The 14,696-nt window shown below is 45.8% G+C and overlaps 1 annotated feature.

Moving 5' to 3' along the window:
• Positions 13,401 to 13,952: an enhancer, noted in NCBI's record as "OCT4-NANOG-H3K27ac hESC enhancer chr2:101154295-101154846 (GRCh37/hg19 assembly coordinates)". NCBI's record gives its function as "activates a minimal SCP1, AML or CMV promoter by ChIP-STARR-seq in naive H9 embryonic stem cells {active_cell/tissue: H9 hESC(naive)}" and the evidence as "EXISTENCE:reporter gene assay evidence [ECO:0000049][PMID:30033119]".

A 14,696-nucleotide genomic window follows, 5' to 3' on the forward strand; every position in this document is an offset into this window, starting at 1 on the left:
TGACTTTGCAGTAACAATTTCTGAATCTCTACCTTCCTTCCCTCCACCCTACCATGACTCATCTTGATATTTTAAATCATAACAAAGCTTTGTACTCATTTCCCAAGGCTCAATAATGGAACCTTCGTCATTTGTGAGGCTTCTAAAATCATTTGACATGACAAAGCAGCCTGTGTTCATTATTACAGAGTGGATTCTAGACTCTAAAAAAAAACAGACAAGGCTCAGCACTGTGGCTCACTCCTGTAATCCCAGAACTTTGGGAGGCTGAGGCAGGTGGATTACTTGAGGTCAGGAGTTCAAGACCACCCTGGCCAACATGGTGAAACCCCGTCTCTACTAAAATACAAAAATTAGCCGGGCATGGTGTCAGGCACCTGTAATCCTAGCTACTTGGGAGGCTGAGGCAGGAAAATCGCTTGAACCTGGAAGGTAGATGCTGCAATGAGCTGAGATCATCCCACTGCACTCCAGCCTGGGCAACAGAGCGAGACTCTGTCTCACCAAAAAAAAAAAAAAAAAAAAAAAAGAATGAAAAAAAAAAAAAAAGACAAATCAGGCCTCTGTCCTTGTATAACTTTGAGCCAACAACAGTTTTCACAGAGAATTTTGGTGACTTTCTCACATGGTGAGAATAGCCCTGCCCTACGTTTTAGAAGATACTGATATATTTTTCCCAGCCCCAATTTTCTGGTCTTCAACTGTGAGACACTGAGTAGGAATCCAGTCAAATGAAAATACCTGCTATTTTGCATGGTCACTGTGATGATAAGCCATATTGTATTCATTATATATTTAGAAGACTTTAAGAGCCAGGTGCCAGACAAAACTGAAGAATGGTCACACATCCTGAGTCAGACAGCCACCAAAGGCAATGATTGAAACATTGACAGCAAGCGGGACTCTGCTGGCTCCCTGGACTCTGGAGGCTAAGTTCAGATGGACTTAGATGAACAGCACCTTACCAGCAGCCTCCTTTAGAGGGGCTGCATGATTAAATGCCAGCACCACCCCAGTCTGAATAACCAACATAGACAATCATGACTTATGTCACGGGGTCCACATATTCTTGGTCTCCCATGCACACAGGGGGCTTTCCACTTCAAAAGGAATGCAAAATACAGAATAGGAGTCTTCCTGTTTATCACAGGATATGTCTTATAAGTGTGAAAGAAAAATAAATCTTGGGATCCCAAGCTCACTAAGCCAAAGGGAAAACTCAAGCTAGGAATGGCATCACACAAAGCTGCCTCCCATTTTGTTCCTAAATAAGATAGCTACAAAGATAAAAGGCTACATACCTCCCTTGCAACTTGCCCACTAGGAAATTCCTTGTGGGTCCCAAGATCTTTACCCTAAAACAGTTCTGTTGAATTTCACCCTGACAATGTCAATTAATAGCTGATTTTCACAGGTGCAGGACAGAAAGTCATCCTTCTGCTCACCTGAGACAGGTGCATATCTGATTGCTTCTTCTGCCCTCTGTTCATTTTATCTTATGTAGAAATGCAGATTCACTGGGTTCGATGAATGCGTAAGTGACTATTCCTCTACCCTCCTTTCACATGCGAACAGCTGATCAAAGACTCAAAAGAATACAAGTGCTTGCCTCTTACTTGCCTACACCTTTAAAAGAAATTTCTGGGCCAGGCGAGGTGGCTCATGCCTGTAATCCCAGCACATTGGGAGGCTGAGGTGGGCAGATCACGAGCTCAGGAGATCGAGACCAACCTGGCTAAGATAGTCAAACCCTGTCTCTATCAAAAATACAAAAAATTAGCCAGGAGTGGTGGCACGCACCTGTAGTACCAGCTCCTCGGGAGGCTGAGGCATGAGAATTGCTTGAATACAGGAGGCGGAAGTTGCAGTGAGCCAGGATCACACCACTGCACTCCAGCCTGGGCAACAGAGCAAGACTCAGTCTCAAAAAAAAAATTTCTTCCTCTTTCCCCAATGTCCTCCCTTTCCCCTTTAAATATTGAAGTCCTCAAAATCATCTTTGGAGAAAGACACAGACTTGTCACCTTGTCACCTGGCACCTGCTCAACCTTGGCAAAGTAAACTTCTAAATTGAGACTTGTCTCAGATACTTTTTGGGTTTACCTAAAAATAATGTCTTGGATTCAAATTTTAAAATACTTGCAATTAAAAGACATTCTAACATCCATTAATTCTTATTTAAAGCACAGCACCCTAAATTAAGATGGGGGTTGTGTGACTCTGCACATGTCCGGGAGCCTGATCCCCAAATCAGATCTCCTAAGCCAGGGCCCTGGATTTCTTCACCACTTTATCGGGAATGAGCTCCAGAGGGATGTGGGGGAAGACATGGAGCTGCCACAAAGGAGCACAGCCTGTTGAGTGCCTTGTTGCCATACATGGCCAACTGGATGTGACTGGACTTCATCTACATGGTGGCCTTGCTTTCCTTGGCTTGGGAGGCACCTTGCTGGTAGGCTCCAGCACTTGGGCTGAGAGGACTGCAGCTTGACAGCCACACAGACAAACACCTCCATATACACTCTCTGTGCATAGCAGCCCCTCCTCAGGTAGCTGTGAATGCAGCCATAGGGAAATGTGGGCCTACCAGGGAGGCTCTACTCCCCTTGGCTCCCAGATCTTTCTGCACAAAGGGACATGGCCTGTAGGGAAGTGACCAGAGGAGACAAGTAGACATGGTCAAACCAGGCTCCTTCAGTAAATATTTGGGCCAGCTGGGAACACGATGATAAACAATCCTGCTATTAAGGAGCTACAAGACTAAGAGGCACAGACAGATCATCATCATATAGCACTGCAGGTGCAAGGAGGAGGTGTGCAAAGGCATCCAGGTGAGATGGCAACCAGGTCCTATAAGACACAGGTGCAAACACATTCCTGTGCCCCCCAGCCATTCCCTTCCACAAGTCATCCGTCCTTGGTCTTCAATGCTTCTCCCCTAGGTTGAGTGGCTCAGGTCACCACCAGCAGCAGGGCTTTGGACTTTGTAGAAGCTAGGTCTCCTGCAAAGCTAGTTCTAGTCTGCTGTCTGCCAGGGAAGGTACCACAAACACTTGCAAGGAGGGAACTTAGCCCTTCTCAGCTAACTGACACTTTTAAATTCACTTCCCTCCACCGCCCCCCTGCCCCCATCAAAAGAGTACATTGGAGAGCTACTCCAGTAGGCCAGCTATCAAGAGCCCTGCTTCCGTCTTAGATACTCTACTTAACAGAATGCATTTTGCAGTCACTGTTTCTCCTCCACCTGACTCTAAGCAGGCTTCAGGGCTCTCTCGGCTCCTCACTCCAGGGTAAGGAATGAGCTTGCAGTGTTATTAGAAAACACTGCTCAGACATTCATTGGTAGCTCCTGTCAGGAGTGTTTTAAGATTCACTGGAGAGAGTTGCTGCAAGCATGAAACAGGGGCCAGCCCCGCAACAGGGTAGGCAGGTGGGTGGGGCATGGCTGCAGACAGAGGAGAGCAGAGGGCCTCAGAACGGCTCGTTCGTCTTTCAAAGGATATACCATGGGTGGTGCTTTGGGCCAGAGCAGTACTTGGCTAACCACTTTTGTATTAGTCTGTTCTTGTGCTGCAAAAAAAAATACCTGAGACTGGGTAGTTTATAAAGAAAAAAGGTGGCCGGGTGCAGTGGCTCATGCCTGCAATCCCAGCACTTTGGAAGGCCGAGGTGGGTGGATCACCTGAGGTCAGGAGTTCGAGACCAGCCTAACTAACATGGTGAAACCCCGTCTCTACTAAAAATACAAAAAAAAAAAAAAAAAAAATTAGCTGGGCATGGGATGCATGCCTGTAATCCCAGCTACTAGAGAGGCTGAGCAGGAAAATCGCTTGAACCAGGGAGACAGAGGTTGCAGTGAGCTGAGATCACGCCATTGCACTCCAGCCTGGGCAAAAAGAGTGAAATTCCACCTCAGAAAAAATAAAAATAAAATAAAATAAAAAAGGTTTAACTGGCTCACGGTTCCGCAGGCTGTACAGGAAGCATGGCTGGGGAGGCCTCAGGAAACTTGCCATCATGGCGGAAGATGAAGGGGAAGCAGGCACATTTTATGGCCAGAGCAAGAGGAAAAGAGAGAGGGAAGATATGCCACGCACTTTTAAACACTGTGATCTCGCGAGAACTCCTTCATGAGAACAACACCAAAGGGATGGTGCCAAACCATTCATGAAGGGTCCACCCCCAGGATCCAATCGCCTTTCACCAGGTCCCACCTCCAACACTGGGAATGATAACTGAACGTGAGATTTAAGTGGGGACACAGATCCAAACCATATCAACTTTGATTCCAGTTCTGAGCAAAATCCAGTCTCCACTCACAGCCTGGGGAGCTAACATAGCTGAAAGAGATCTATTGATGAAAAGTAAGGGTCGGGAGTCTCCAAGTGTGTAGCCTTGACACTCCTGGAAGGACACTGGGAAACCACTACTGAGAATATTTGGGGGAAGCCTGCCTGCAGGTGCTGAGTTTGTGGAGTGAAGCCCCTTCTTGTGCTTGGTGGTCCCTGACACTCCACTTACTAATGTCTCTATTACGGGGAGTTTTAGCTTGTTATAAGCCATTTCTCACTATAAGAAGGGCACATGTTCATTATATAAAATGTCAAAATTCAGAAATTTAAATAGAAGAGTGTCCTGTTTTCCTACCACCCAAGGAAACTTGATCATATTGTCATGCATTGCTTTAAAATCTTCACTCTTTTTAATTTTCAAACCAATTTTTGCACCAACAGAAAGCGTATCTGTTACCAGTACTAAAGCGGCCATAGACTTGGTTCACAGATGAGAACATTTAAACCAGGACACAGCTCCATCACCAAGAGGCTCCTGCTGTAATTGACTGGCAAAGAAGAGACAAGCTTCATTCACTGAGACCACATCGGGCTGCTGCAGGTGGACGTTTTCATACATCATTTCTTTTTCTTTTTCTTATTTATTTATTTATTTATTTATTTATTTATTTATTTATTTATTTATTTATATTGAGATGAAGTTTTGCTCTTGTTGCCCGGGCTGAAGTGTAGTGGGGCAATCTCAGCTCACTGCAGCCTCCGCCTCTCAGGTTCAAGCGATTCTCCTGCCTCAGCCTACCAAGCAGCTGGGATTACAAGCGTCTGCCATCATGCCCGGCTATTTTGTATTTTTAGTAGACACGGGGTTTCACCATGTTGGCCTGGCTGGTCTCCAACTCCTGACCTCAGTAATTCCAGCCTCTAATCCCAACTACTCAGTGGTGCTTTATATCCCTCTTTATATTGCCTCGGCCTCCCAAAGTGCTGGGATTACAGGCATGAGTCACTGCGCCTGGTCGGACATTTTCATTTCTAACCCTGGATGCATGATCTTCATTAGCACCTATTCCAAGATGCTGCCTCAGGAGGCTTATGCAACACACCAGGCATCATTTTGCACCCTGCCGTATCCTCTACGTTCAACCAGCACCTCACATGGACGATGCCAGGGTCCCGGGATCTTGGTCTTCAGGGGGACCAGGTAAGAAAGTTGGGGAGGAGTCCTTCCCAGACCATCCCCATTGTGGGGAACAACACAAAAGTCATGCCAAATCCTGTACGTGACAGCTCTCCCTGCTGCCACGTGTAGCAGACTTCCTAGCAGGAAGGCAGTGAAACAAGATTTGACTCAGAATTGAATCATTTTTCAGACACTATACAGCTGTGAGTCAGGACCCCTGGCTTCAGCCGTTTGCTCTCTATGTAACTTGATTAGGTGGCTCAACATCTGGGGTCCTCAGCTTTTCATTAGGAAAACTGGAGATAATCCTGCCTGCTCCACCAGGTTGTTGTGAGGTCAAACAAGAAACAGGGTGAAAATGCTTGTAGTTGGCCGGGCGCAGTGGCTTACGCCTGTAATCCCAGCACTTTGGGAGGCCAAGGCAGGTGGATCACCTGAAGTCAGGAGTTCGAGACCAGCCTGGCCAACATGGTGAAACCCTGTCTCTACTGAAAATACAAAAATCAGCCAGGCATGGTGGCAAGTGCCAGTAATCCCAGCTACTTGGAAGGCTGAGACAGGAGAATCACTTGAACTCAGGAAGTGGAGGTTGCAGCAGTGAGCCGAGATGGCACCATTGCACTCCAGTGAGCGAGACTCCATCTCAAAAAAAAAAAGAAAAAGAAAAAGGAAAAGAAAAAAAATCTGTGGTCTGGTAACCACACAGTCAGTTTGATTCTTGGTGAGCATCATCAGTATAGCCAGGCTGACCTCAGAGGAAGGCAGCCATGTCCATAGTGAGATTTTAGCAGGGTAAAGAACTGCTCCTCCCCAGCTGGCAGTGAGACGAGATCATGCCACTGCACTCTAGCCTGGGCGACAGAGTGAGACTCCGTCTCAAAAAAAAAAAAAAAAAAAAGAACTGCTCCTCCCCAAATTACCTCCCCACCATTCCATATTCCATTGCCATATGGAATGCCTTGGCTAGACATTCACACCATGGATTTCTGTCTTTTTTCTCTCTTAAAACCAGAGCTATAAATATATACTTCTGAAATTTGCTCAGACATCAAGACTTGGTTCAATACTCTTAACTCGGCAGGTTATAAAGTACAAAGTCAAAATATTCAATAAGGATGTGGGAAAATTTGAAAGCACAGGGAAATCAATTTTATTATGTCAAGGATATGCAAATGTCATGTAGAATTTCTAATTTGATCCTTTAAAGTAAAAGAAAAAAAAAAAAAGCTGGGCTCAGTGGCTCACGCCTATAATCCCAACACTTTGGGAGGCCAAGGTGGGTGGATCACTTACTTGAGGTCAGGAGTTTGAGACCAGCCTGGCCAACATACTGAAACTCCGTCTCTACTAAAAATACAAAGATTACCCGGGCGTGGTGGCAGGCACCTATAATCCCAGCTACTCAAGAGGCTGAGGCAGGAGAATCGCTTGAACCCAGGAGGCGGAGGTTGCAGTGAGCCGAGATCGTGCCATTGCACTCCAGCCTGGGCTACAGAGCAAGACTCTGTCTCAAAAAATAAAACAAAAAATAAAAAAATAGGAAGTCCAAGATGGGCCTGGGGGACAAAAGGATGATTTACCTCAGTAGCAAGAAATGTAGGCACGGTTGGCCAGGCACGGTGGCTCACACCTGTAATCCCAGCACTGTGGGAGGCCAAGGCAGGTGGATCACAAGGTCAGGAGTTCAAGATCAGCCTAGCCAAGATGGTGAAACCCCGTCTGTACTAAAAATACAAAAAAAAATAGCCAGCCATGGTGGTGGGCACCTGTAATCCCAGCTACTTGGGAGGCTGAGGCAGAGAATTGCTTGAACCTGGGAGGTGGAGGATGCAGTGAGCCGAGATCGTGCCACTGCGCTCCAGCCTGGGTGACAGAGCAAAACTCCATCTAAAAAAAGATAAAAAAAAAAAGAAATGTAGGCAGGCTTTACTTAGGAGAACTGCGTGCTGAGAAGGATGAAGGCCAACTTTTTATTCTAAATGTTGATGCAACTTCTGAGTTGGTCTCAATATTTAAGCAAATCAGGTTTCAGTTTTTTTAAAACATAACTGAAATAATAATATTACATCTTTAAAGTACCAGTATTGTGGCCAGGCAAGGTGGCTCATGCCTGTAATCACAGCGCTTTGGTAGGCTGAGGCATGCGGATCACGGGGTCAGGAGTTTGAGACCAGCCTGGCCAACATGGTGAAACCCTTCTCTACTAAAAATACAAAAAATTAGCCGGGCGTGGTGGCAGGCGCCTGTAATCCCAGATACTCGGGAGGCTGAGGCAGGAGAATCACTTGAACCCGGGAGGGAGAGGTTGCAGTGAGCCAAGACTGCACCACTGCACTCCAGCCTGGGTAACAGAGCAAGACTCCATCTCAAAATATATAAATAAAATAATAAAGTACCAGTATTTTGGTACATAAAAAAATGGTATAAACTAAACTGATCTTGCAATCTCTATTAATCCATTCATCCCCTCTTAGAAATATAGTTCCACAAGTTGCTCATAGCTTTTCATCTTAAGATGAAAATTAATTTTATTTGTTTGTTATATTTGTAAGTCTATAGTCATTTGATGAGATGAAACGTTTTTAAAACTCAGATTTGGCCGGGCATGGTGGTTTACACCTGTAATCCTAGCACTTTGGGAGGCTGAGGTGGGCAGATAGCTTGAGCCCAGGAGTTCAAGACCAGCCTGGGCAACACAGTGGGACCCCTGTCTACAAAAAATACAAAAATTATCTGGGCATGGTGGTACACACCTGTAGCTCCAGCTACTCAAGAAGCTGAGTTGGGAGGATCACCTGAGTCTGAGGAAACTGAGGCCGCAGTGAGCCACGATCACGCCACTCTACTCTAGCCTGGGTGACAGAGCAAGATCCTGTCTTAAAAATAGATCAATAAATTGGCCGGGTTCGGTGGCTCACGCCTGTAATCCAACACTGGGAGGCCAAGGTGGGTGGATCACTTGAGGTCAGGAGTTCGAGACCAGCCTGACCAACATGGTGAAACCCTGTCTCTACTAAAAATACAAAAAAAAAAAAAAAAAAATCTGGGCATGGTGGTGCATGCTTGTAATACCAGCTACTGGGAGGTTGAGGCAGGAGAATCGCTTCAACCCAGGAGGCAGAGGTTGCAGTGAGCTGAGATGGCGCCATTGCACTCAAGCCTGGGCAACAAGAGTGAAACTCTGTCTCCAAAAAAATAGATAAATAAAATAAAAGTAAATAAATAAATAAAACTCAGATTTGGTTCATACACATCTTCTGCTAGCCCACCCTCAATATCTCCAGTTGCAAGGCATAGGAGGTTCCCCATCTCCTGCCCTACCTCTTCAGCCATCCCTAAGCTCCCCTCACACCTAGCACTTCTGAATATGATTAAAAAGCACATGACAGCCTTCTGCCTTGGTGCCTTTGCTCACTGTGCCCGCTCCCTCTGCACTGTTGGTGTCTGCCTGGTTGGCACCTCTGATCTTTCACTCTCTTTCTATAGCAGCACCTCTTCTATGAAATCCCTCCTGCCTCCTGCCCCTGCCGCCCCAACAGGATAGGTTTCTTCATTTCTATCCCCCTACAAATTTCCATGACACTCCACAGGTGGGGAGTGCCTAAAGGGCCAGAAAATGATTCTCTTTCTTCTAGGCAGATCTCCCTCTCCACCGTGGATTCTGGGCAGCTCCTGTCACTTGCTCTGGCCAGTGAAAAATCAAATATGTTACAGAAGATGCTTTCAAAGTGCATGAGCACTGGGCTTAGTCTCTTGTTGCTTTTCAGAATCCTCCAACTCCCATGTGAAAAAATCCAGGTTAGCCTGCTGGATGATGAGCGACACATGGCCCAGTCACCCACTCCCATCTTACTGGTTGAGCCTACCAACCACCAGATATGGGACTGAGGTCATAAGAAATAGTCCAGCCACCAGCCAAGCTGCCAAATGACCATAAGATACATAAGAGAAATCAGCAGAGATCAGTTGAGCTGGCTCAGAACTATACAACTAATCCTCAGAATCATGAGTTAAATAAAAATGGTTGTTTTAAACTACCAAATTTTGAAGTGTTTGTTACACAGCAAGTGGTAACTGATACACCCTACATAATATTTGATTAAACTTATTCATTTACTTATCTTCCTATTCAATAGTGAGTACCTTGAAAGTAGGAATTTTGTGTTTTATTTATCTTTGGATCCATAGCATCTACCACTGGGTATAGAACATGGTAGGAGCTCAATAAATGTTGAGCTCAATAAGTGTTCATTAGGTCCCTAAGTGAATGAATATAAAAATATTTTACTCAACTAGCTTCCTATTGATTAGGTGGGTTATTATGCAAAGATGAAAGACAGCTCTAATGCTTGCTACTTTTCTCCTAAATTTCTAGATTTTATTTCCTACACAAGATCTAAGAAATTGAGGGAGAATAGTCTCAGTGATTTTGGTAGTGCTTTTGGCCACCCTGCTCCATGTCACTGGGTGTTCCAATGTCATTGGCCAGGGACACCACAGGAAAAGCTGCTGCAGTCATTGGTGCATTGGCTTAGAAAGTTCATTTCTCCACTTGCCTCCTTCAGACCCCTGGACCCTTCCCAAATACCAGCTCCCCTCAGTTCGCAAGTGCTTCGAGTTGGTGCCATTGACCTTGACTCAGACCCAGCCACTCCATAGAGCACTGCTGCCATCTGTCCCACAGACCATGGAGAGGACTTGAGGCAACAAGTCACGATGTTTGGCCCTGCAGTGCCTCCAATCAAGCCTTTGGCTATTTGGCCCAGCTCGTTAGGACAGGGAAATGGGTCACCCCCTTTCAGACTCTCTCAATTTTACTAACTTAAAGAGATGTCAGAAGCAACAAACCCTTGTTTTGAAAATGAGTGATTTTGTTTATCTTTTTTTTTTTTTTTTTTGAGACAGGGTCTCACTCTGTCACCTAGGCTGGAATACAATGGTGCCATCATAGCTCACTGAAACCTTGACTTGCCAGGCTCAGATGATTCTCTCACCTCAGCCTCCCGAGTAGATGGGATTACAGGGGCACACCACTACATCTGGCTGATTTTTGTATTTTTTATAGTAGAGATGGGGTTTCACTGTGTTGCCCAGGCTGGTCTCGAACTCCTGAGCTCAAGTGATCCACCGGCCTCAGCCTCCCAAAGTGCTGGGATTACAGGCATGAGTCACCTTGCCTGGCTCTTGATTATTTTTATCTTAATCCCTTAGGAGAAAAACAAACTGTTGTTTTGAGTAGTACAGAAATAAGATTTAAGGATATTGCAGGCCGGGCGCGGTGGCTCACGCCTGCAATCCCAGCACTTTGGGAGGCCGAGGCGGGTGGATCACAAGATCAGGAGTTCAAGACAAGCCTGGCCCAAATGGTGAAACCCCATCTCTACTAAATATATACAAAAATTAGCTGGGTGTGGTGGCAGGCGCCTGTAATCCCAGCTACTCAGGAGGCTGAGGAAGGAGAATCACTTGAACCCGAGAGGTGGAGGTTGCGGTGAGCCAATATCATGCCACTGCACTCCAGCCTGGGTGACAGAATAAGGCTCCGTTTCAAAAAAAAAAGAAAAAAAGAAAAAAAAAAGAATATTACAAAAAGCAGACCAGGCGTGGTGGCTCATGCCTGTAATCCCAGCACTTTGGGAGGCTGAGGCGGGCAGATCACAAGGTCAGGAGTTCGAGACCACCCTGGCTAACACAGTGAAACTCCGTTTCTACTAAATACAAAACAATTAGCCGGGCGTGGTGGCGGGCGCCTGTAGTCCCAGCTACTTGGGAGGCTGAGGCAAGAGAATGGTGTGAACCCGGGAGGCAGAGCTTGCAGTGAGCTGAGATAGCACCACTGCAGTCCAGCCTGGGCGACAGAGCGAGATTCCGTCTCAAAAAAAAAAAAAAAAAAGAATATTGCAAAAAGCTTTGAATTTCGATGTGATTAGTTCAAGTGGAGTTTTATTCCTTCATGAAGGTTGCTGAACACATTTTTTTTTAAGGACCTGCTATGGGTCATACTGATATCGTATTGCTTGGTCAGTCCTAAGACTTCTGTTTTACTGTGAATGCTGGTCAGCTGTACCTGAATTCCAAAGGGAGGTGAGTAATGAGGCATTCCCCATCCTCCCCCTTTCTTATTATGGCCTGAGCTAGAATTTCAGATGAACTCTGGAGTGCCCTTGGCCAAAAGGAGCAGTCCATTCAGTCGGTTGGGGGACTTAGAATTTTATTTTTGGTTTCCAGTGTTTTTCCCAACCACCAAGTAGCAGACAGCAGCTATGTGCCTTCAATTCAGTCCCCACACTCTCTACCTAGGGATAGCATCAGATCTTGTTGACAAAAAGAGTCAAACTCTGTAAAATATTTGGATAGATTTATTCTGAGCCAAATGTGACAATGGCCCATGACACAGCCTCAGGAAATCCTGAGAACATGTGCCCCCACATTTCTTATTTGAATCTTTACATATGCTAGAACAGATGAACAAAGATGCTTAAGTAATTTTCCTGGCAACATATAAATATAAAGCAAAGCAATGGATGTAGTTTATTGAAAATGTTTGCACTAAGTATGTATTTCCATTGATTAAAAGCCTTGTCTGAGGTGGTTGGCACAAGGGGAAATAGCTAGGCTGTGTTCATCTCAAACATTCAATACATGTAGCATTCAAAACACTTTAATAGTTAACCACCTCTTCCTCCTTGTCTCGGCCCCTCAAAGTGCTGAGATCAAAGGTGCGAACCACCGCATCCAGCCTAAAATCTCCCTTTGATGGATCGCATTAACTATTTAAAAACGTTTTCTCTAATATATGCTACTTATCTAAATCACAGTCTCCAGATTTAGAGAATTCTATTCAAAGAGAAGGGTGTCCCCATAGCCTTACATAGCAAATAGCAAGATTAGACCTCTAAGAATTTCAACTAATTAAATTATTAACTATAAAATAGCCGGGTGTGGTGGCTCACGCCTGCAATCCCAGCACTTTGGGAGGCGGGTGGATCACGAGGTCAAGAGTTCAAGACCAGCCTGGCCAAGATGGTGAAACCCCGTCTCTACTAAAAATACAATAATTAGCAGGGTGTGGTGGCAGGTACCGGTAATCCCAGCTACTCGGGAGGCTGAGGCAGGGGAATTGCTTGAACCCAGGTGGCAGAGGCTGCAGTGAGTGGAGATCACACCACTACACTCCAGCCTAGGCGACAGAGTGAGACTCCATCTCAAAGAAACAAACAAACAAACAAAAAAACTTAAAATTAGCCAAGTGTGGTGGCACATGCCTGTAATCTCAGCTACTCAGGGGGCTGAGGCAGGAGAATCGCTTGAACCTGGGAGGCAGAGGCTGCAGTGAGCCGAGATTGCGCCACTGCACTCCAGCCTGGGCAACAGAGTGAGTCTCTCTCAAAAAATTTAAAAAGGGAGATTTTAGATAAATATTTTCTTCCTTTAATAACACTGATATCCAAAACCTCTTTAAAGATACAATCTTGCCGAGCGCAGTGGCTCACGCCTATAATCCTAGTGCTTTGGGAGGCCGAGGCGGGCAGACCGTGAGGTCAGGAGTTTGAGACCAGCCTGGCCAACATGGTGAAACCCCATCTCTACTGAAAATACAAAAAGTAGCTGGGCATGGTGGTGGGTGCCTGTAATCCCAGCTATTCAGGGGGCTGAGGCAGGAGAACTGCTTGAACCCAGGAGGTGGAGGTTGCAGTGAGACGAGATCAGGCCACTGCATTCCAGCCTGGGAGACTGAGCTAGACTCCGTCTCAAAAATAAAATAAAATAAAAATAAAGATACAATCTTCACTGACTGATACAGCTCCGATGAGTGGAGGAACACCACCAGGGCTCTTGTCTCCCACGAATTGGGTAAAACGACATGGACACACATGGAGTGGTTTTAAGGAGTGGAAAGTTTAATAGGCAAGAAAGAAGGAAGAAGCTCCCCCATTCAGTGACAGTCAGAGGGGACTCCAAATCCAAGAGAGGAGACCCCATGTGCCACAGAAAAGTGGCTGCTTATATGAGTAGGCTGGAGGAGGTGGTGTCTGATTTGCATAGGGCTCAGGGGATTGGTTTGACCAGGGATGTCATTCACCTAGCCAGCAAAAAAACTGGCCCTCCGACCCTAGCCTTTTAATATACAAGGCGTCAGGATGTTGTACCCACGTGGGGATATGTGAGGGCGGCCATATTGTCAGGCACAGGTCAGGGCAAGGGCAAGGAGAAGAGGGCGGAAATCGCCTTGTTTGGCTGGACTCAGTTTCTAATGGCTTGCATTTGCATATCAAAGGTTGCCACTTGGCTCTAAGAGCTGGGGCTTTCCTGCTAGACAAGAAACGTTTCAGCCAGGGGTGGTGGCTCACGCCTGTAATCCCAGCACTTTAGGAGGCTGAGGGGGCTGGATCACCTCTGGTCAGGAGTTCCGACCAGCCTGGCCAACATGGTGAAACCCCGTCTCCACTAAAAATACAAAAAATTAGCCAGGCATGGTGGCGGTTGCCTGTAATCCCAGCTACTCGGGAGGCTGAGGCAGGAGAATCGCTTGAAGCCGGGAGGTGTCGGTTGCAGTGAGCCAAGATCGAACCATTGTACTCCAACCTGGGCCACAGAGCAGGACTCTGTCTCCAAAAAAAAAAAAGTTTATGGAGCTGCTTTAAAAGAAACAACTTTCCAAGGACCCCTTTTCTTCTCTATCTGCCTAAAATAATTTCTTAATAACTCACACAACATTACGATAATTGTTGTCACATGATATAAGCTTCAATTATTTCATAACACTGGTCCTGTCCTTCTTTCAAAACATCATAGCTGACTCAACACTAGATGGGTAAGAAATGCTATATTTTGCTTCCCTGATTCTCAAAACTATAAAAAAGATACAACTTTGAAAAGTTTCATAGAGTAGGCTGGGAAACACTGATGTCACGTTGCAGAAAAATCTAGGCTCTGAAATAACACCACGTCCCACCCAACCCAACCCCACCCTGTTTTCCCTTATCTCTGATAGCTGAGTGATTATGTTAGCAAAAAGCAAGAGGATTTTAAAATTGAATGTGCCTCCCAAGAGCTCTCAGTGTACCAGGGCTGACTTTTAATATTATTAAGGCTGGAGTGGTGGCTCATGCCTGTAATTCCAGCACTTTGGGAGGCTGAGGCAGGCAGATCACAAAGTCAAGAGTTGGAGACCAGCCTGGCCAACATTGTGAAACCTCGTCTCTACTATAAATACAAAAATT

This window comes from Homo sapiens, chromosome 2, assembly GCF_000001405.40.
Source record: "Homo sapiens chromosome 2, GRCh38.p14 Primary Assembly".
NCBI classification, from domain to species: Eukaryota; Metazoa; Chordata; class Mammalia; order Primates; family Hominidae; genus Homo; species Homo sapiens.